The sequence below is a fragment of the Homo sapiens genome, chromosome 10 (genome assembly GCF_000001405.40).
Source record: "Homo sapiens chromosome 10, GRCh38.p14 Primary Assembly".
NCBI lineage: Eukaryota > Metazoa > Chordata > Mammalia > Primates > Hominidae > Homo > Homo sapiens.
In genome coordinates, this window is record NC_000010.11 from 67,010,400 (window position 1) to 67,034,752 (window position 24,353).

The 24,353-nt window shown below is 35.4% G+C and overlaps 2 protein-coding genes and 1 long non-coding RNA gene across 10 annotated transcripts in view; 1 reads left to right on the plus strand and 2 right to left on the minus strand.

Annotated features, from left to right (window-relative positions):
- LOC101928961 (uncharacterized) overlaps positions 1 to 1,754 on the minus strand; it is a 118,044-nt gene extending 116,290 nt beyond the window's left edge. The window contains exon 1 of the long non-coding RNA NR_111911.1: positions 1,664 to 1,754. This is a non-coding gene — a long non-coding RNA (uncharacterized LOC101928961). The remainder of the gene's footprint in view (positions 1 to 1,663) is intronic.
- Positions 1 to 24,353, minus strand: part of CTNNA3 (catenin alpha 3) — a 1,851,072-nt gene that overhangs the window by 1,097,877 nt on the left and 728,842 nt on the right. The window lies entirely within an intron of this gene.
- LRRTM3 (leucine rich repeat transmembrane neuronal 3) overlaps positions 1 to 24,353 on the plus strand; it is a 175,516-nt gene that overhangs the window by 84,364 nt on the left and 66,799 nt on the right. Inside the window, exons 1-2 of one of the 2 annotated variants that reach the window (NR_111909.1) lie at positions 1,867 to 1,953; positions 2,585 to 2,627. The exons of the other annotated variant lie outside the window; for it this stretch is intronic. The gene's annotated coding sequence lies outside the window, so the exon portion shown is untranslated. Of the gene's footprint in view, positions 1 to 1,866; positions 1,954 to 2,584; positions 2,628 to 24,353 lie in introns of those variants that run through there. 2 annotated transcript variants of the gene reach the window in all.

Genomic DNA, 24,353 nt, shown 5'->3' on the forward strand with positions numbered 1-24,353 from the left:
TAAAAAGTCAGGAAGTAGTGTCACCTAATGTTGGATTGCTGACTTAATGATGCCTAATATCTCTCCAATTATTTTTGGCTTATCACCTCATAGTCCCCAGATGGCTGCTATCCTGTAGGTATTAGATCTGTGCTCAAGGCAAGAAGAAGAGTGGGGGGAGCACTAGCTACAATCATCCTCTTTTAATAAGAAAACAGAAGCATCTTTACCACCGCCACCACCACTATCACTTCCAGCAAGTTTCTGCTCACATATCAGTAGCTGCTAGGAATTTTCCAATGCTTTTGTATAGCCATGCAAGAAAGAAGAGTGTTAGCAAGAGCTTTCGACTCAGCCAACCAACAATGTTTGCCATACCCCAAATGCTGAACTCCTCCACAGAAAGGATTTGAGCATATCCATATTTGTATGCCCAGTTCTCAGCAGAGTTTGACATATTTGTAGATACTAATTAAATATTTGTCAAATTATACTCCTTTATGGTTAACATTATTTCTTCTAAACCTAACAATTGAATTGACATTTTCAAAAACACATTTACCATGAATCTTAGACAACTATAATATAATAGAGAATCTACAATATAAATCTATAAAATCTCATATTATTAAACTGAAATTAAGATTATTTGTCAACTATGTCAATATAGGCCAGGCGCGGTGGCTCACGCCTGTAATCCCAGCACTTTGGGAGGCCAAGGCAGACGGATCACGAAGTCAAGGGGTCAAGACCATCCTGGCTAACACGGTGAAACCCCGTCTCTACTAAAAATACAAAAAATAAATAAATAAATTAGCCGGGTGTGGTGGTATGTGACTGTAGTCCCAGCTACTCGGGAGGCTGAGGCAGGAGAATTGCTTGAACCCAGCAGACGGAGGTTGCAGTGAGCCAAGATCATGCCACTGCACTCCAGCCTGGGGCAGAGCAAAAGTCTGTCTCAAAAAAAAAAAAAAAAAAGCTAGCCTGTTCTGTTTTTAATAATAAACTATTCAGAAGGTTACAAATTCAGTAGAATACACAATTGCTAGTGAAAAAACAGAAATTTACCCATAGAGTGCAATTAGGAAGCCAGAAAGTGCTTTACAGTGCTGCATTGTCTTTCTGGAGTTAAACTTAAAACTTTACTGTCAATATTTATGGAAACTTTCATTCTATTCCATAACATGTACATGTTGGTGATAATATAAATGAGTATTTTTTCCCTAAAATTTTTAGTAGAATTTCACCCTAGGCTATGTGTAACTTTAATAATGATGATGATAATGATGACGATAGCAAATATATAGAGTGCTTACATGTACCAGGTACTTTTCTAAGCACTTTATATGTATGAACTAATTTAATCCTCATAATAACCCTAGGAGGTAGGTATTATCATCAACCATACATACAGAAGAGAAAATGGAAGCAGAACTTGAGGAAGTAATTTGCCCAAGGACCTACAGGTTGCATGTGGCAGAGGTGGAATTCAGTCCCAGATCATCAGGCCCCAGAACCTGGCTTCATAAACACCTGCCCTTGAAACCCACTATGGAGCCCCAGGAGTACCCATCCATGGTTTTGACCAACATTACCTCCTCTGTCATTTCAAGAACTCTATAGGCATTATCTTTAGGTTTAATATATGAGGAAACAGAAACTTAAAGAAATTATGGTAACTTGCCAAAAATCACAAGCTCCGTAGATACAAGTCAAACACAACTCTCTCTGGCTCTGGAGTCTACATTCTTATCCACTGTGCAGTGCACTGTACTGACAGAAGGGGAAAACCCTACAGTGTGTGATGCACTTCCTATGTCACAGAGTATGAAGAATGTCACAAGGTCACGGAATTTCAGAGCTGAAAGGGATCATCTAGTCCAACCCATTCATTTCATGGGTAGAGAACTGAAACCCAGAGAAAATAGAAATGCCACCACCTCGGTGCCAGATCTCCTAGATGCCCACCTACAGGTCAGTCCTCTCTATAGTATCTTCTCCCCTTTTCCCTTTAGGTTGATTTTTCATTTAAAAATTATTTGATATAATATAAATTGTTATAGCTCACAATTGTGAGGAAATTATAAATATTTGCCTTTATGATTTTAGAATGATGAAAACCTTTGTTATTCTGCAGACTTTCTCCAAAGCTTTATTTCAAAAAGCATCATTGTTCTTTTTCATCTTAGAAAACATAAAACCTACTTGCTTGTCTTCAGGAACCCTACGAAGATAAAAATTATCACAATTTATACCCAACATACCTAAAGAACCCTGTCCATTGTGCCCTCATTGGTTGTCCTCTTAACTTGGACAAATGTAATCACGTCTTTGATGTATTTCCAGCTTCACGGTGGTTTTGGATATACACTTCTGTAAAATGATCAAGATTTTTGTTGGAATTCACGAGTGTTTGTTAAAGTTTTATTAAAAGCGATCCTAGAAAATATAACTAGAGCTTACTATAATATGTTCTGCAGGTGGGAAAAATGTTACAGCTCCATGAACATAAAGCAATCATTAATTAGCAGCAAAGACACGCCATTTTCAATCTTATCTTTTCATGATTTTAAAAAAACCAACACTTTTCCCTTATATTTTCCAGGTAAGGCATCTTACCAGTTCTTATGCACTGCAATGGCCACTAGGTAATATTCTTTAAGCAATACTGTTATACATATTATTATATTACAGCAATCCTAAACGAGATAGGAAAGACATCATCTTTCATTTTCTACATGGAGAAATTAAGGCTCAGAGAAGTTAGGTGAAAAGACTAAAGTCAAAAATGCTAATGGGTGTAAGAACCTGACTCAAATTCAGATCTGTCAAATGCATCTGGTGTCTGTCCTTAATACTCTATTAAGTTGCCTCTCTTCATTTAATAAAATTCTCTACCATTCAAAATTAAAGTTGTATATCTATAATGTTTGCTGTTTATTTCAGTGAGTAGTTATTTCAGTTTTTAATAGATATGTTTTCCTTTATTAGGATTTGTTAAAACTAAAAAAATTAATAATAACTTCAAACAATCATTGTTATCATTTCCAATAAGCAAAGCAGACAATTTAAAGAGACAGAATTCTCAGACATGCAATGCTATTTCAAAGTCCATTCACGTGCTGTGCAAAAAGTCACATTAAAACACTTTATACTGAACTATACCATGACCTCGGCAAACACAGTACTCCTAAAAGCACAGTTATACTTGTTGATGGCTATGAGTACAGATTACTTCCTTTTCTTGATACAAAAGTATTAAAAGTATTAATACCATACAGTTAAATCTGAGGAATAATTAATTTGAAGGAAGGTAATAGGCAGGTAAAGCAGCTCAGTATAATCAAAATTTTCCTTTAAAGAGGTTGACAGTTACTCTGATGTAATATCCTGGAAGTTTTTTTCCAAATGTGCACTTCTGATTTGCATGAATTTTAAAGTCATTACTGGTGAATACAGAAAAGATACAGGCCCACTCTCACAAGGATGTAGATTGATCTCTGATATCTAGCCTTCCCAGTGTGCCATTTGGGGTGTGAAAAGGTACCCCAGAGCCCCAAGGTCTAAAAACCCACTAAATCAGGGTTTCCCAGGACTGCTGTTTTATAAACACTCCAGAGAATTTGTCTCTAAAAACAAGTGATGAAGGACAGAGACAAAAGGGGGAGTGTAAAAAATAACCTTTTTTCCCCTTAAAGCAAAGAATCAACATTAGTTTGTATTTTGGTTCATTGTAGAAGTCGATCACTATTGTGCACTAATCATTTCACTAGAAAAAGTATTTCTTTTCCTACCATTCTTCACCATGCATGCTTTAGTGCTTCACAGGTGTACAAGTGATTTTCTTAAATTTATAACCACAGTAGACTTACATAGATCCCTTATAAAATTGATGCAGCAGTGGTAATAGGTTTACACAAAAATTGTAATTTATGTCATTCTGTTTTGTTGAAGGGAATCTTGGCTTCTATTTACAGCTTTAATTAACTACTGTATACTTCCTAATTGTATAACCTGTGAGATTATGGACTATATAACTTAAGAAATATCTTTATCTGGGAATCCCAGGTGGTGCCTGTTTGTAACATATGCATTCTTGAAATATATTCTTCTAGACAAAATTAGTTTTTAGATTAAAATATTGGAGAAGATACTGTTCCTATGATCTCTTTTATTTTGTACTTCAATTCCAAAATTTATAATGTATTTGCCAAAGACTTTCTTTAGTAGCTAATGGAAAAAAATTCTAAAGAAGAGATGGTGGTAAGGCTGTAATTTTTTAAAAGAATGACTATTCTTTCATTGAGATGATATATGTCCTATATAAAAACTTCAAGTAATAAAGAGAAGTTTCAGAAAGTTTCACTTTAAGTCATCCAAATTCCATTTATCAGAAAAAAAACAGCCATCTCTACCACCAAGTAAACATCATTCCAAACATAGCTAAATGTTTACCAAGGTAGAAAAATGGTCAGAGAGATGTATACATACATAAGCCTTAATTTTGAAAAAAATGAAATCAAATTATATATGCATTTTAATATTTAAATGTTATATTTTCTTTTCCTTTAATTTGACTAAAGAAAATTTGAACTAAAAACTGAAATTCAGGTAAACGTTTCTTAAACCCAAAACATGTTTTCTTTTCTACAAGGGCACTCCAAAGTTGAGGTAAAAAATGGAAAAACTTTAGGAGGTTAGAATCATCTGTCTATTTCAACATTAGGTAGTAGCTATTAACCCCATGCTATGTAGTTAGGGAAATTAACTGATACCTCTTCCAATATTACCTTGTCACATATTAATCATTTTCATTAACATGCTTTCATTATCATAGTTTATACCATTTATATGCTATTCTCTAATTTCTAAAGCTGTTATTTTTTATCCATAGATAGATTTGATGCTAACCATCTTAAATCAGAGTTCCTCCATTCTTGAGCTACTGATGTTGACTCATCATGTATGTGCATGCACATGAGTTTAAAGAAGAGCTCCAGGGTTCTATATTGTCTAAGTTTTGTTTCAGAATGTCTTTCTCTTGATACTATATTTGACTGAAAATAAAACTTGAGTCATACTTCCCCTCCTTCAGAATTGTGTAGTAATTGCTTCTCTGGGTTCTCATATTACGTGGAAATTGAAAGCCAACCTTTATTCTCCTTACATGTAGCTGGTATCTTTTCCATAAATGTTCATCTGGTTGAATATTTATCCTTGGAGTTCAGGAAACAGTTTAAAGTATCTCTCAGTATTCATTGTTCTATCTAAAATTGTCCTAGAACAGAGTATGAACTTCAATTTGAAGATTCAAATCTTTGTAACAATTTTCTTCTTTTTATTTTTTATTTTTATTGATTCATTTTTTTCTGTTCCCTATTCTTAGGATCACCAATTACGTACATGTTGTCTCTCTTTTCCCTGTCTTCCGTATCTTTCTTCATTATAAAAACTTCACACTGTTCATACACATTTCATTTTGTCAGATTTTTTTCCAACCTAGTATCTATGCTTGTGACTTTGTTTTCAATCAAGTTTATTCTATTTGTGTTGCTTCCAGTGTCTATTTTATTTCTGTCATTTTTTTCATTTCCATTTTCATTTTTTACTGAACTCTTGTTCTGTTTTCACTGCTTTTATTGCTGTATACTCTCTTCTTTGAATTCATCTGTCTCCTTTCTGAACCCTATTTTTAGAATACGTATTTGTTGTGATATACACTTGTGTCATTTATTTGCTTGTTTTCCTCTCCATGTGTGAAACAGAAAATGGTAGTTTTATGCATGAGTTTATCCACTGTTCCCTTTCTGATCGCTACTCCTCTTTGAATGAGATAGCAACTGACCAAGTAGTACAATGGGGAGGGGAAGAGGAAGGGGATAGCTGGAAATGTACTGAGGAAGTTGGCAGCCACTATTTCAGCTTACGAACTCAAACATCTTCTTTCCAAATATTTTATTTTCTTAACATTGAAAGTAGTTCTTCCCTCGTTTCTTTTTGTTTGTTTGTTTTATTTAAGGAGTTTGCATGGATCACAGCAAGTTTCCCTACAGCAGTGTACCACCTACTTCTTCCACCTTCTTTGACAGACTGCCTGGGCTGAAAGACAAAGTGGTAGAGAATAGAACGAGGTTGTTGGCAGAAAGTCCCTCTGAGGCTTCCCTTCCCTACCATTCTAGAGTCTCAGGCGGGATTTCTACGTGGTTATTCTCTACTTTTCTTATGTATCACGCAGAAACTAAGCTCTCTTTAATCAAAAACTACCAAATATTTTTGGGGGAAAGGCACCTATTGATAATGTCTGAGTCAACATCTCTTAGTGGGTTTGATTATCTATTTCAATATTTAATATATGGACTTCGTAATTTGTATCATTGCAGTTGTGAGGCTTCCTTGCTTTCTTGGAGATGACAATATTTTCCCTCTTTTTTGACTTCTTTGATAATTTTAGTAGACTTTGAGAAAGTAAGAAAAACACCTCTATAACAATATCTAAAACTGGAATGATACGAATATTTTATATCCTATCAAAATAAGTTTTACCATCAAAATGTCTGGTTCAAAATAGGGGATTTCTAATTAGTTCACATAAATTGTATCTACTGAATACCTTCTATATATGAGAAGAACCTAGACACTTGGCTAGGTGCAGGTGTCTGTACAAAAATTAATGAGCCAAGATCTGGAATCTCATGGAGCTCACAGATTTATAGCTAATCATTGTATAATAAAATAGATGTAACAATAACTGAGCAAACAATATATTCATAGTATGAAAATATGGGATTTAATATTTTGTGATTTCCAAAGTGTTTTCAGGTCCATTTAACTAATATTCATTGAGGGCTATGTTAGATCTAAAAACATTACTGAAATTGCCAACTTCAAATAAACTAGGCCAAGGTTAGGTTAGTTCCCAAGAACACAGTGAGGTTAGGTTAGTTACCAAGAACACACTGACATAGAGAAAGGCTGTTTCTGATTAGAATCTAGGATTCTTTCTACCACATCCTGTTGCTCTGGAAAGAAGAACAGAGTTGATTATGTGGAATAAAAAGAAATCTACTCTGTGAGCCACGATTAGTCCTCCACATACCATGCTGGCATCCACAATCTATCTTTTGTGTACCACACTGGGAACCACAATCCATCCTCTATGGTTCGGCCTTTAAGAAATATACTGTGATTCACCCTCTTGCAGTAACAGAAACTCATATGGCTCTACCTACAACACCAGCCATAGTTCTAATGTTTGGAAGTGGAGGTATTTGAAAATATTTCTTTCTTACAGGACAGTTAGTAGGTTAATCAAAAAAGTTGACAAAATGTGATGTCACAAAAATCATCTGTGTGTGTGTGTGTGTGTGTGTGTGTGCGCGCGTACAATTTTATGTGTACAATTTTATTTTGAGATGGAGTCTCACTCTGTCACCCAGGCTGGAATATAGTGGCCCAATCTCGGCTCACTGCAACCTCCGCCTCCAGGGTTCAAGCGATTCTCCTGCCTCAGCCTCCCAAGTAGCCGGGACTACAGGGGTGTGCCACCACGCCCAGCTAATTTTTGTATTTTTTAAGTTGAGATGGGGTTTCACCATGTTGGCAAGGCTGGTCTCAAACTCCTGACCTCAAGTGATCTGCCCACCTTGGCCTCCCAATGTGCTGGGATTACAGGTGTGAGCCACCATGCCTGGCCTGTGGATATATATTAAACATATATTTTAACTTAAAATATATAAATGTTAATTCACTTTTCAAGTGTTTACAGTAGGGCCAAGACTTTGTATTTTGGTAGTGATTCACTCACTATAAATATGTACTTTTCTGTATTTTCCACTTTCATTTATTTTTACTTAAAATGAGAGCATAAAGGCATATGAGGCCAACTACAGCAAATGTCTATGTTTTATGAGGTAGTTTACTCTTCGCTTTCACCCATTTCTGATTTGATTCCTGATTCCTGATTTTCTTCACCCAACTTTTTAAAGGCAACACCCCTTAAGTCTTATCAGCATATTCAAATTGGTTATAAATGTCCAAAACCACATTTGTATTTTGCATTTCTAGTATGTTACATGATATTTGATTAAATTACATAAAAAATCTAGTACAACTGTTATAAACATGTTTGGGAACAAATACAGATGACCTTTAAATAAGGTTTCAATTCAACTGGTGAGAGCAGTAATAGACAGACCTGCTAGTGTTGTTACCTAGTGATTAAGTCTGTGGGCTCTGGAGCCAGAATGCCTGGGTGTGAATCCTGATCCATTACCTACTAGCCTTTTTAACCGTGGACAAGCCACTTAACCTCTCTGTGCCTCAGTTTCCTCATATGCAAAATGAGAATGACATTAATTAAGGTTTTGTTGTGAAGATTAAAGGAGTTAATTTGAGCAACGCACTTAAAACAGTTCATGGAAGGTGTTAAGTGTTGTGTATAAATATTAGATATTATTACTACCCAGGCATTCAGTGTATAAGAGACGCCAGTCAATGTGTTTTGCAGATGAAATGGAAAACACTAGCTAATCTGGCAAGTGGGTTAAAGGGAAACTATTAAGACAAACTCTGATTTTCAGTATCAGTTTGTTAACTAGTGACCCTTATTAGATCATAAGTATCTTGAGAGCAGGAATTAGATCTTCTGTTCCATTCACTATTACATATCTAATGAATACAGTGCCTGCACTTACTAAATATTTTCTGAGTTAATTAATGAATCAAGTTCAAATATGGTAGGATGATAAGGTTTTTACAACAGGATATCAATACTACCTCATAAATATGGGTTACTTCACATTTGAAACCATTCTTGCCACTTTTCTTTTTTTAATTTTATTTTATTATTATTTTGTTTTGAGACGTAGTCTCGCTCTGTTGCCCAGGCTGGAGTGTAATGGCGTTATCTTGGCTCACCACAACCTCTGCCTTCCGGGTCCAAGCGCTTCTCCTGCCTCACCCTCCCAAGTAGCTGGGATTACAGGCATGTGCCACCACGCCAGGCTAATTTTGTGTTTTTAGTAGAGACAGGGTTTCTCCACATTGGTCAAGCTGGTCACAAACTCCCGACCTCAGGTGATCCCCCTGCCTCGGCCTCCCAAAGTGCTAGGATTACAGGCATGAGCCACCGTACCTGGTTTCTTGCCTCTTTTCTAATTGATTCTTGCAAGAACTTTATCGTATATAAAATTATGTACACTTTATAAATAAGAAATATGGAGTACAAAGAGGTTGAGTAATTTGTTCCAGGTTACACAGTGTGAGTCATTGATATAGCTGGGGCTCAAAGTCAGGACTCCTGGAGGTCTCCCTATGTAATGTCATCCCTTCCATATAAATAGTCTTAAAATAACCTCAGTTAATCCTTTGTCTCCATGAATACCATCTACCCTGTTTGTCCTATTTGACTTTTGATGCTCCTTACTCACTTTAAGTTCAAATTCTAAGCGTCCGTTTATGAACAAATCTGTTCCTCTTCCGTTCTTGCCTAATTTTCTCCATTGCTGTAATTCTACCATAAAAACAGCCAAGCATGAGATTAAATGCATTTATGAAATAAGAACGTCACTTGTTTAATTTGCTTTAAATACCTCACCTGTGATGCATTTAACAACATAATTGTGTTAATACCAATATCAACTGCTTTCCCTCACTGTGTCAAGAAGTACAGTAGTTTAGATTCTACCAAGGTCACCTTCTCTTGCAGCACAGTCCCAAATCGCCTTACAATAAAAAACATGTTGTCAAAATCAATGAATGGACAGAATTATAGTATTTTTTATAATCATAGCTTAATGAAATTAAATGGGTGAGCCACCTCAATCTAAGCCAATCTTTAAAATATCATCCTAACAAATGAAGCAAATAAGTAAAGAACTATTATGTGGGAGGGGAAGCAAGGGGTTGACAAGCGCTCAAATATACAGCCTCATGTTAAATTATATTATTAAGAGCACAAGGGCTTCTTTATATTCATAACCATTCTTAATAATATGTCCCTTCTGAGCTTTTATTATCTTCTCTTATGAATGGATGGCAGCAGGGATATTGTAACTTATCTCAATTGTAAGTTAAGCTATGTAGGATTCATCTCTGTTCACTTACAGAGTCTAACAATTTATCCCCTCTATAAGTTTCACAATAGTCTTAAGTTTATTGAACTCAAACCATTCAACAAATATTTACTAAATTTTGTTATGTCTTATCCACTGTATTGGGCACTGTAGAGAATCAAAGATTGCTTAAGGACAGCCCCTTACTTCAACGAACTTAAAATGGAATGGAAAATTCAGATTTGGACATCAAAAGTTATTTAAGGGGAGAATAAGCACTAAAACCTGGGTTTTAAAAAGGCATAATGAAAATACAAACTAGATTAATTCTAATGGAATGACCATGTAAGTTTCAGAAAGGTGTAGTATTTGATGGTTTCCTAATTAGTAGGGTTGGAACAGAGGGGCTTCAGATGAAGAGATGAGAGTGACTAATGCATGGAAGAGGAAAATAAGGGGCCTCAGGAATAAGAGTATGACATTGTGGCTAACACTTACACTACCCGGAAGATAGTGTGAGAAAAGGCTAGAAGGCTAGTTAAACCTTGACTATGGAAAGTCTGAGATACCAACTGAAGAGTTTGCCCTTACTTGACAGTTAACAGGTATTAAAACTTCTCTTTGTTTCATTTTTGCAGTGGGTTGATTATATACATTTTGTAACTATTACTCTGACAGGAGGAGATAAAATGTGACGGAAGAGGAAGGCCAGTCAGGCTATTGAAAGTAATTTAGGCAAAAGTATCAAGATCAGAAAAGAAGTTCAATTATCCAACACAATACTGGGAAAAAAAAGCTCAACTTTGTCAATTATTAAGCAAAGATATATACAGAATATAGTACCATTTCACACCTTTAAAATTAGCCAAAAATTTAAACAATAATTGTGAGGTTAAAATGTAAGAAGCACTTGTATACAATCAGTGAATAAATCAGTAAATAATACTTTTGGAAAGAAATTTGATATTTTAAAAGTCATATGAAACATATATATTTTACTGAAAATATAAAATTTTAAATACCGTTCATACAAAGAGTCACTGTCATGTTATTTGTGACAGTAAAAACATTAAAAAATCCTAGATGTCTAACAAAAATTACAATAAAAAATTTGATGGGTTGCTATGTAGCTATCAAAATTATAATCATGAAAGTTATGTAGTGATATGAGAAACATGTAAAAATGGAATAAAATTGTATCTATACTATTATTGCAACTAAAATGTAAATATATATTCCGAAAAAAATGGCAAAAGTACATATAAAATTAAAAGTTGAGATACTAAAAAATTTCCTCTTAAGATTTCTGGACTTCTTAAAATGTGCACAATAAGTAATTTAAAGCATTAATGTGATGCTGAATTAGGACAATGGCAATCCAAATGAAAGGAAGTACTATAAAGGGAAACATGGTAGAAATAAACAGGAGTGAAGTACTAGGAGTTTGAAGGGATGAATGAAAAGAAGGATGCAGACTTAGAGGCTGAGAGCCTGGTAGAATAGTCAGAGAATTAAAAGTAAACTAAAAAGGTTTATTCATGCCAGTTAAAGCAAACAAGTTCTGCTCTAATTGTTAAGTCGCAATAGACCTTTCCTACGCATTTGGAAGTACGAAGTGTATTTCTGAAGAAATATCAGTGCTAAGACAGGAACTTGGACCTTCCCTGAAGTAGCTTGTATTTGAAGCCAAAGGAGTGGGAAAAAAATATATATCAAATTTAAGGATGTAGAACAAGAAGAGAAGACAACTTTGGAAAGAACATGGAGCAACACTTCCAATATAAAAGATAGGAAATTCAAAAAAGCTACAGAAGCACTCTGGAAATGAATAGTCAGTGTTAGAGATCCATGTTAGCATACTGCCATGGCAACTGAGAAAAAGCTTTTTGTACACACATGCCTCTGTGTGTGTGTGTGTCTGTGTGTGTGTGTTCTATGAAGGAACAAGTTATCCACATATTATAGAGAAGTAGAAAAGGAAAATTGGGAAAACAGATCATAGAAGTTGGCTACTCCAAGATGACCCTAGAAAAGTAGTTTTCACAGACTAATAAAAATAAAATTTTCAGAGATGACAAAGGAAATGGCAGGAAGGTCATGAATTTTAACTATGCCTTCAAAAAAGTGAATTTAGTAAGGTTGCAGTGTACAAAGTCAATATACAAAGGTAAGTATACTATTTTTTACCAACCACAAATGATGAAAAATTTTAAATATACACTGAAGGCCGGGCACGGTGGTTCATGCCTTTAATCCCAGCATTTTGGGAGGCCGAGGCGGGCAGATCATGAGGTCAGGAGATCGAGACCATCCTGACTAACACAGTGAAACCCTGTCTCTGCTAAAAATACAAAAAAATTAGCCGGGCGTGGTGGTGCACGCCTATAATCCCAGCTACTCAGGAGGCTGAGGCAGGAGAATAGCTTGAACCCGGGTGGCGGAGGTTGCAGTGAGCCGAGATCATGCCATTGCACTCCAGCCTGGGCAAGAGAGTAAGACTGTGTCTCAAAAAATAAATAAATAAATAAATAAACTGAAAACAAAATTTTCTGAGTGAAATTTAAAAAGACTGAAATAAATGGAGAGGTATAATATGGTCAGTGATTGGCATACTCAATATTTTCTAATGTCACTTTTCCCCAGTTGAGCTATGTATCTAATTCAATGCCAATCAAAATCCAGGTAGACTTTTTGTAGAAATTGACAAGTAGATTCTAATATTTATGTGGAAATACAAAGAACCAGAACAGTCAAATAAAGGAAAAGATGGTATGGTAAACTTAAGATAGTATCAAGATCAATTCTCTAGGTAATCTACAGTGAATAGGCCACAGAAGATAGAGACCCAGGGAATGTGAAACTGCTGAAAAGGTTCTATGTAGAGTAGAATAAGACATTCCTCCATGAAAAGTTTCCTCATGGCTTTTCATGCTTCCTGAAGTCAAGAACTTCAGGAAAGAAGCATCAAACTTCAGCAATAATTCCAACCCCTGACAATCCACCAGGCTTATCCATGGATCTTCTATAGAGAACGATGACTAAAATCTACCCCTAGAGCTGATTATTTAATAGAATAGCTCTAACTTAAGGGATCTATGATAATACATGATTCTTCCACTTCTCATACCCAAGCAAAGTCTAATGCTGTCAGACAAGGTGATGATCCTCAGCTTGGAAAGACCTAAAGTGGGAATGCTAATTCCTGTCTCTATACTGTCATTAGAATCTATGGAGAAAAATTGAGTCAATATGTATCGATCTATTTCAGAACTACTAATCTTCTTACAAAGACATCAAGGAAAAATTACATAGAATATAAATTGCTGAAACATGAATTGGATTTTACTTAACATAATATACAAGAAAGCATGTAAGACTGCAAGGTTAGGATACAGGAGTTTTACAATTTTGCTACAGATTATGTAACTTCAGGTAGAATGACACTCAATACTTGGATGGTGTTACTATGAAATTCATGGGTAAGAAGTTGGGCTAGATAATTTCTAGGATTATTTTGGGTTATTACTCAATTTCTAATCCTCAGAGTCTATATTAATTTCCTCTTGCTGCTATAACATATTACCACAAATTTAGTGGTTTAAAACAACACAAGTTTATTATCTTCCGGAGGACAGAAGTCCAAAATCAGCCTCACTGAGCTAAAGTCAAGTCAGCAGGACTGTGTTCCCTCCAGAGGTCTAGGGGAAAATATGTTTCCTTGCCTCTCTAGCTTCTAAAGACTACTACACTCCTTGGCTCCTGGATCCTTCCTCCATCTTCAAAGCCAGCAATGTGGCATCTTCAAATTTTTCTCCTCTCTAGCTGCTTCAGTCATCTCATTGTGTTCTCGTAGAGTCTGACTTTACTGCTTCTGTCTTTATATTTTTTCTCTCTTACCATGACCTTCCTGCCTCCCTCTTACAAAGACCTTTGCAGGTACATCAGTGAGCCCACCTGGATAATCCAGTATCATTTCCCTATCTCAAAATCCTTAATTGTTCTGCAAAATCTCTTTTGCTGTGAAAGGTAACATAGTTGCAGGTTCTGGTGATTAGGAAGTAAACATCTTTGGTGGGTGGAGGGCATTATTTGGCCTACCATAAGACCACGTTAATATATGCTTCAAAGTCATTATGTTTTGGAGTTATGCTATAAAATCATTTTCCTAACTTTGAAAGAAACAACAAAATGAGCCATATATGCAAATGGGTGTAACCAGCAAAAGTTACCTTAGAAAAATAGATAATTGGTTCATTGATCTTGTTAATGCTCAGATATTGGTAAATTATTTATTTGGAAGGACCTTCAGAGCCTACTAAACATTCTTTGGCATGTCATTGATGTTGCTTTAAATATTTTAACTTGCTCAAAAGTTATTTATAACCAATATTAATGAATTTTAAAAGAAACCACAAGAGGCCGGGTGGGGTGACTCACGCCTGTAAATCCTAGCACTTTAGGGGGCCAAGGCGGGCGGATCACCTGAGGTCCGGAGTTTGAGACCAGCCTGACCAACAAGAAGACACCCTGTCTCTACTAAAAATACAAAATTAGCCAGGTGTGGTGGCGCATGCCTGTAATCTCAGCTACTCGGGAGGCTGAGGCAGGAGAATCACTTGAACCCAGGAGCGGAGGTTGCGGTGAGCCGAGATCATGCCATTGCACACTCCAGCCTGAGCAACAAGAGCAAAACTCTGTCAAAAACAAAAAAAAAAAAGAAAGAAAGGAAGGAAGGAAGGAAGGAAAGAAAGAAAAGAAACCACAAGAAATATTTTTCAGTATCACCCACCAATTGGCACTGAAAGTAATTACCAAAGACTCATTCAGTTAACTAAATTCTGGTATATTTGCATTTTTAAGTTGTTTGATTAGCTCATAAGCCTATTTTGTAAGCCCATGCAAAAAAAAAAACTCCTCTCCCCAAACTAAAAACATGGTTTTGTAAAGGCCACATATCCAACTTTTTACCTCCCCTATATAATTTTTTGATATACTTGTTCTCTCCTAAGTACAATGCTTGGGAAAATAAGATCATAGATTACCAATCACTCAGAAATTCCAGACTTCCTATATAATAATAAAAGCAAGTTTATTAAAAGGGTGAAAATGTATTTTGCATCTTGTTATTTGCAATGTTACTGAGAATAGCTCGGTTTCTGACTTTTTTCTTTAACCCCTGGAGGAAGAATATTTTTAAAATCTATATAGCAAGTTGAAATCCTCTCTAAAGTACTATATAAGTACTATATCATTACACAACAACAACAAGTATTGTTCTTAGTTACATTTTGAAAATCCAGACAAGTTATAATGCCCATTAACATATGTTCTTAATTTTTACTCAAATACTGATGATCGCTATAAAGACACATGCACACGTATGATTATTGCGGCACTATTCACAATAGCAAAGACTTGGAACCAACCCAAATGTCCAACAATGATAGACTGGATTAAGAAAATGTGGCACATATACACCATGGAATACTATGCAGCCATAAAAAATGATGAGTTCATGTCCTTTGTAGGGACATGGATGAAATTGGAAATCATCATTCTCAGTAAACTATCGCAAGGACAAAAAACCAAACACCGCATGTTCTCATTCATAGATGGGAATTGAACAATGAGAACACATGGACACAGGAAGGGGAACATCACACTCTGGGGACTGTTGTGGGGTGAGGGGAGGGGGGAGGGATAGCATTAGGAGATATACCTAATGCTAAATGACGAGTTAATGGGTGCAGCACACCAGCATGGCACATGTATACATATGTAACTAACTTGCACATTGTGCACATGTACCCTAAAACTTAAAGTATAATAATAATTAAGAAAAAAAAGAGAGAAAAAAATACTTATGACCATCTGGCAATCCAGATTCAAGTAGAGTTTTAAGAAGATGAATTAATATTTTTGGAACATTTTGTAAATATACATTTTGTAAATATTTTTATATTTGTAAATATAAAAATAGAACTAATGAATTGTATTAAATACTATTTAAAATAAAAACAAAATAATATAACAAAACAAAAGAAATAAAGCAGTGTTATATAAGTAATATGGAAAAGTTTTAAATCTTCATAAAGCTAAGAGGGAAGACATTCAAGAGGAACATGCCTTCAAATAGCTCCTTATATATTAGTCAAAATTATCTCTCAAGAAAGAACAGTCTTCTGAACATTCATATTGAAGGAAAAGGAGCTTAAACCCTGGGAGGAAACCAATTTCTTCATAAAGCATCTCTTTCAGTTTGAGCAACCAGTGACGAAAAAGTATATTAACGTTCATTTAAAACCTCTTCTGTCTGGTTCTTAGTTGTTCAAAGAGTTGATTGACATAAGGAGAGATTTATGAAAAATGAAACAAACTCTTCTCATGTGTTAATTAAAAGAGTTCAGAAACCTAAAATCTACAAAGCTTATTTTCCTCATATATCTCCTTAACTCTGAGAGGTTGTAATTTAAGATCACATTAAAATAGAAACCATTTAGAAGAGGGATCATGCCTTCTTTATTCTGTATAAGACACAGTTAATTCTGGGTTCTCAGAAAATAAATGATGATAAAACATCTCCTTTTACCAATTCACAAATAATTTCAAAGGACTCAGCCAAATCTGAAAACTCTCTGAGAGCGTAGATTTTTGCCTTCTACTTCTTTTATATCCCTTATAGCATCTCTAGAATTCTGCTGATAGAGTGAGTGCCCAATAAGGTGAGAAGACAGAAGAGGGAAAGGAGCGTAGGAAGTAAAGGAAGAAAACAAAAGGAGGAGAGATGAGGAAAGGAAGGATGAGAGGAGGAAAAGGAAGATAGAGCTGAATGAGTCACCTAGATCTTTTTAATTCCCCTCGTGGAACTCACTGAAAGTTTTACATCTGACATTCAACTGACATTCTTCTAAAATTGGTATTCCTGGATTACTTTAATGACTCAGAAAATATTAAATACCTATATTTCTGTCAATGATAATGACTTGCCTTTTTTTTCTTTCATGACTTTTTTTTTTTTTTTTGATACACAGTCTCGCTCTGTCACCCAGGCTGGAGTGCAGTGGTGTGATCTCGGCTCACTGCAACCTCTGCTTCCTGGGTTCAAGTGATTCTCCTGCCTCAGCCTTCCGAGTAGCTGAGACTAAACATGTGCGCCACCATGCCCAGCTAACTTTTTTGTATTTTTAGTAGAGACAGGGTTTCACCATGTTGGCCAGGATGGTCTCAATCTCTTGACCTTGTCATCCACTGGCCTCCCAAAGTGCTGGGATTACAGGCATGAGCCACCGTGCCCGGCTGACATTTTCATATAATTGTCCATAGGTATTTCTGAGATTGCCTAGGACATATAATATGTCCACCAGAGTACCTACAAAGAGTATATTCGTTTTTTCCTTTTAAAACTTTAAAATTTACACTGATAGATATTTGCTGTTTGCTTCTGAATGATAAGCTCTTAATGTCATAATGATGATGATATCACTTTATATTTGTATAGTACTTTTTTGTTTATAAAATCTCCATCTGTTTTCTCACTTGACCCTCATAACAACCCTGTGAAGCAAGTAAGGTAGCTGGTATTAACTGTATTTCATATGTGAAAAAGACCAGCTGAAGTTCAGAGGGAACTATCCAAGGTCACACTGCTATATTCGTTTATTCTTCTGATCCTGAGACATTTTGCTTTTCTCTACTGATGAGTGTATGCTGCACTGCATTGGACAACTTTATATGGAGCCCAACCTTTTCTTTTCACTGGAGTTTCCCATCCACTCTTATTTCTTCAGTTTTGTGGTTTGTCATTGTTTGTTTGTTGTTGTTGTTATTTTGTTTTGTTATTTAATGTAATGGCACAGGCAGATAAATTAAATTTTGTCTTTATGGCAACAATTTTATGGATTGACTCAGAAGCTACAGAATAGATTTGGAGAGTACCTATCATCCACAGCTTGCATGACTTCCAGTATTTAACATTTCTCAACCAAAAAATTTAGGGTTTGACAATCAGTCTTTATTAAAAAAAAAAATCTAGAAGGTAGTACTTGAGAGTGGATGGCATCTGGCAAACTAGGAAGTAAAGACTTTAGGCAAATAGTCAATGAAATCGAGCAGACATTTTGAAAATAGAATGTAGTTATGTCAAACAGCATGTGCAATGAGAATTTTCCAGGCCAAGAAGGAAGTCAGAGATAACTGATACAACAAGCTAGTTCTACTTAAAAAAAAAAAAAAAAAGTTCTTGGAGTTTATTTTCCCTTAATATTTAGCAAACTATTTAGAACATTTAAAATCTAAAACGATTAAGGTCTTCTAGGAAAAATGGAAGCAGGCTAGTGAAGTCATTTTAGCATTTTTGAGGTTTCCTCCCAAGCATTCTACAAGTAATTACATTAGGAAGATAGGAAATCCCTGAGTAGACTATTAGTAGTTTAGTATTAAAATATCAAAATTAATGAGTCATTTTAACATTTTGGTGCAAGCATAAGGCAAAACTCAACTTTTTATTGTACCACATACTTAGAAATTAGAGTGCCTCAAAAATCAACAGCAATCATATCGCAACTCCCCACTAAGTGTTTTCTCTGTGCTTTCCATTAATAACATCAGACTAGCCCAGGAGTATATGTGGATGTAAGAGCACACTACGGTGAGTTCAAAAGGTGTGCTTTGCTGATCTTTCTTTATGTCTCTCTACTGTTCAGCATAATCACCTCTTTTATTAGCTGATGACTTCTATCCAGGCCATTACTCCATAAGCTAAATATTAGCAGCTATTTGAAAAGGTTCACTAATGTACCAAATATTCTTAAATAAAACATGAATTTACAGTTGAAATAAGAAGTTTCAACTAAACAATTAAAACAAATCCCAAATCCATTTGGAGGATATTAAGCAAATTTGTAAGCAAATAGGGTCATGGATATTTTGGAGCTGGTTCAGAGCAGGTTGATTGATAAATGGGGAAGACCTATAAAGAGAGGTTAAAGCAGTTGGCATTTGGGCATGGTTGAGGGTTGGTTTAGTTACTGTCTTAGGAAAAGCATGATAACCGGTGGGTACTCATCTACTTGAGTCAAGTATACACAAACACAAACATTATTTAAGCTATAGCACTTAAGATTTTGAATGTCACAAGTGAGTTTTAACATTGTATTATTTAAAACTTACGTAGGTTACAAAAGAGAGGTTTGGGATGGCTTTTTCTCATTGCCTTTAAAAATAAATTTTAATTTTCCCAAAAGACTTAAGTGTGGCTCTACTAAAGCGTAAAACAAAAGATATTTTTACAAATTAACTTTTAACTCTGTGATTCTATATCAAAAACCAATCAATACCTGTGATGTCCAATAGGGTAGCCACTAACCTCATGTACCTATTTAACTTTAATTAAAATTAAAAGCACGGTTCCTCAATGACACTAAAAACCATTCTAAATAGACACGTGTGGCTACTGGACACTGCACTGGACAATCCAGATATAGAACAGCCCCATGGCTGGCCAAAGTTCTGTCAGACAACACTGACCTATCCAAACATATTCCAAATCCTTCATAAATGCATTAAGATATTTGTGCCCTGTATTTCAAACACTTTGATAGGTAAATAAAATTAATTTTTTTCTAAAAAACAATCTTGTAATAATCATATAGAAGGTGTATTTTAATCATCAAAATAATCTGTTTTCAAAGTTTAGCTAAATTAATAACAAATAAGCTTGTGCTAAAGCACCAGTTGGATGGTTTACAAGGGAAGTCAGACATTCATTTATTGCATTTTTACACTTAGCAGCTTCACTTTAAAGCATTCTGCTCTACATAATGGTGCTCTGTTAAACAATGTTTAAAGTTAAGAAACATTTGAAGTCGAGTTCTAAAGCAATCTGCATATGCTATCATTTAATTTATAAACTTTTGAAGCACTTTTAAAAACCCTCTTAATTATAAAATTAATGAAATATTTAAATAGCTCACCAGTTAAAAATTTAGGCCCTGTTGTGAATTAAGGAATTAATCTTGAACTATATTTATACATTATGTGTATATAATATATTCACACCCACACAAAAAATATATAAATACATAAATTAATACTGAAGTGCCCCAAAGGAGTGATTTTACATATTGTATATAATAATTTTATATATTTTTATGAAGATAAATATCTGATTTTGCATATTTTCATGAAGATATTATGTAGATCAATATATTTGTTTATCACCATTATTATTTCTCCATAGAGATAATGAAGCTGAGGTAGAAGAGATAATTTAATCCAGAATATCAGAAAAGTACCGGTCAGATGCGGTGGCTCACGCCTGTGATCCCAGCACTTTGGGAGGCCGAGGTGGGCAGATCACGAGGTCAGGAGTTTGAGATCATCCTTACCAACATGGTGAAACCCCGTCTCTACTAAAAATACAAAAATTAGCCAGGTGTGGTGGCGGGAGTCTGTAATCCCAGCTACTCAGGTGGTTGAGGAAGGAGAATTGCTTGAACCCGAGAGGTGGAGGTTGCAGTGAGCCGAGATTGCATCGCTGCACTCCAGCCTGGGCAACAAGAGCGAAACTCCGTCTCAAAAAAATAAATAAATAAATAAATAACTTAGCTGTGTCACACACAGCCTCTGAACACACATTTTACCCCGTCATACTTGACTTCTGTTTTCACATGTTTGTAAAGAGTTTAAACTAGATGACTTCAAAAGTAACCTTTACTTAATAAAGTTGTATTATTCCAGGTATAAATAAAACCCTCTGATTTATATAAATTGATATATATGTCTATATATAACAATACATTTGTCTAGGTCCTTTCCTAGTAAAACTGTTCAACATCAAATGAGGTAGAAATTCACAGGTTTTAAATTTTTCAGTAACAGAGAAGGGAAAAAATGCAAGAAGTCAAGTGGTTTGCAGATGATAGAAAAAATCAGTGTCAGATCTAAGAATATCATTCTTCGTCTTCACTTCTGGCTACATTATCCCTTTCTACTATACATTGTGCTTATCACTAATGTATTGAATTAACATGAGCTCACTTCAAAGATTTTCAAGAAAATTTATCATTTTCCTGATAATTAAAAAGGAATACTGCCAAGTAATGTCACTAAAAGACTGACAGGGACTACTTAGGACCTTTAAGAGGACATAATGTAACAGCACTTTTGCAGAAGTCAGGTTATTAGAACTTAAGTGTTGGAGGTTTGAAATACGCCCATCAACCTGGTAACAAAACTGTCAGAATTAACAAATTGAAATACGCACTTTGAGTAGACTAGGACCTTAGTTTCCGCTCAAAGATAATGTAATTCTTGTGTTAAAGATCTAAGAAATGAGTGAGAATTACTCTGTTCTTAGAGTTCTGCAATGTCACAAGATCATAAAATCCTGAATCAAGAAGGACAGATCAGAGGTCATTTTGAGCAGCCTCTTTTATTGGGCCACAAAACATGCTTATCCCCATGCAATAATGGCATTCTAATTCCAGTCTTTATCAATAGTAACAATAACTTTAGCAATTACTTTTTAATCTCAGAATTCTAGAAATCTGAGTTCTAACAAAAACACGGTGTATATAAAATGGTTTATGGCCATGCATAATTTGTCTGCCTTCTTTTCCAGTAAAATGAGGTAGGTCATGTACATTTCATATTTTAGCTCATGAAATCTTCACCATTTTCCCACAAGGTTTGTTTCCACTTTATATGTGAGAACCTGAGGCCTAGAAAAAATATACAACTTGCCCATGGACACACAACTAGCAACTGGTTATCAGCCAAGATTTAAGTCCTCTACTTTGACTCCAGAACTGACATTTTTTATATTGTGCTTCATTGCTTTTTTTTTGTTTGTTTCCAGAACAAGGGTTACCTATGCAGAGGTAACTGACATATGAAAACTATCCTTAGAAAGAAATCAAGTAAAGTAAATTTGCCTACTTTCCTCAATAGCCCATTTCGCCTCCAATAAAATCATATTTAACGGGTTGATTTCCAAAGTATGAGTTTGTTTTACAAAATTTAAGAGGAGGAAAAAAAGAATATGGGTGGGATTTGTGGAGGTCCTGCTATAGTTAATGAGAAGATATCACAAATCAGGTAAAAATACTCTCTACAGATTTCTTTTATGTTTGCCTCACATACTGCCAGGTATTAAGCATCAGACAGATGTTATTGATGTAATTTCTACAGTTACAATTTTTCACTTGAAATTCAAAGGTAGTTAACAGAACATTATTCAAATTGAATCTGTATCATGTTTAAGGCTTCTAGCTTCATTATATAATATCCTGTGTAAAAGAAGCCAAATAATAAAATGTCTTTGATGTCAACAAAAGCAATTTTCCTTTTTTTATGTGTTCTCAGTTCAATTAGCTCCCCTATCAGACCACACTGAATCCTTGGCTCTCAGTTACTAACATACAAGCTTTTCAGCTGTATATTAAAACAACTAAGGTTTTGGTACTGCATAATGACATTTTCTATTTAATTTTCAGCACACCATGGAATCTGAAGTGATTCAGAATGGCTGGCTTTTGAAATTCCTTTGAACTAAATAAAGCACCTTCATTTTTACTTGAATTATTTTACAGTACTTTTACCAATGCCTAAAGGAACAAAGATAACAGCTATTTTTTTCCAGGAGGATTTTGGAAACTCGAAATTCTTAAAAGAACTATTTTAACAAAAATAAATTGAAGGAAACCGACTGATTTTAATTTTAGAGATCATTGCTTTCAAATATATGATCTTCAAGTCCTCTTGAATTTTGAGCTATTTTGAAATCAAGTTCTATTTGTATAAGGCTTTCTCTCTGAGGCAAAGTGTTATGTGAGGGTGCTTTCCAGCATTCAAAAGCATTATATCTCAGGTCTTAACCATATTTCCACATGTGCACATCTTCCATCAAACTGTGGCTCATAGCACAGTTATGCAACACAAATCTCGATGCTTCTCTCCCATCAATTTTTGAGGAAATTTTTGAAGAGTTCCCCAAATCAGATTATTATCTATGTATCAATACTTGGTCAGAAAAAATTCACCTGAAAACCATTACTGTATACTGTACCAATACACGATGTAAATAAAAGTTGAGTGCAGTAGACATAGTTCACTTCTACTACTTATAACACACATAGTGCCTAATATGTGCCGAGCACTGTTCTAACTACATATTGTAACTCATTTAATCCTCACAACAACCCTATGAAGTTAGTACTATTATTTTCCCCATTTTAAAGAGAAGAATACTGAGGTACAGACAGATCCTAAATGGTGGAACTCAGATTCAAACCCAAGTAGCCCACTTCTAGAATCTGCATAAGTAACTTTTACTGTATAGTGTTTCTTTTTGTTTTTTTTGGACGAAGTCTCACTCTGTCGCCCAGGCTGGAGTGCAGTGGTGCGATCTCAGCTCACCGCAACCTCTGCCTCCCGGGTTCAAGCAATTCTGCCTCACTCAGCCTCCCTAATAGCTGGGATTACAGGCTTGCGCTACCACACCTAGCTAATTTTTGTATTTTTAATAGAGACCAGGTTTCCCCATGTTGGCCAGGCTGGTCTCAAATGCCTTACCTCAAGAGATCCGCCTGCCTCGGCCTTCCAACGTGCTGAGACTACAGGCGTGAGCCACCGCGCCCGGCCTATACTGCTTCTTAAAAGGAAAAATAAGCTGACACATTGTTAGAACTGCAGCCAAACCAGTGCTTTTAATTACCTAACTAGTGCCAATGGACTAGTTTCCTATCCTTTACCATCCTGTACTATCCTTTGCCTGGTTGCCAGGGCAACCGGGATCACTTTCTTTAACCACACTGGAGCTTATTCTGTGTAATCATTTGCCAAGCAATCATTTGCCAAGCAATCATTTATTCAGTCATTCAACAAGCACAAATCAAGTGCCTTTTATGTGCCTCACACTTGTAAGTGATGAGGATACAATGCCCAATAAAATGTTCTGGTTGCCCTCAAGAAGCTGATATTCCTTCTTGCAATACTTCTATGTTGGTTTATGATCTATCACATCTTCTAGTGTCCAGTGCCTATACTCTCTAGTGTCTTAGGCTCTCCCTTTCTGGTTCCTGGGTATTGTCATCATTTCAATCTCCTACCCTCCATTAACACATTTATATTATCCTTTCCACTCCTTCAATGCCATCATCCAAATTCAGGTCTTTACTAATAACCTACAAATAAATTACAAGAATGGCCGTGTGTTCTGTTCTCCTTACACCTAATCTTTCTCAAACGAACTTATTTAACCACATCACCACCCTCCTACTCAGATGCAAAAACTGACTCTCTAGTGGCTGTATAATAAGTAAA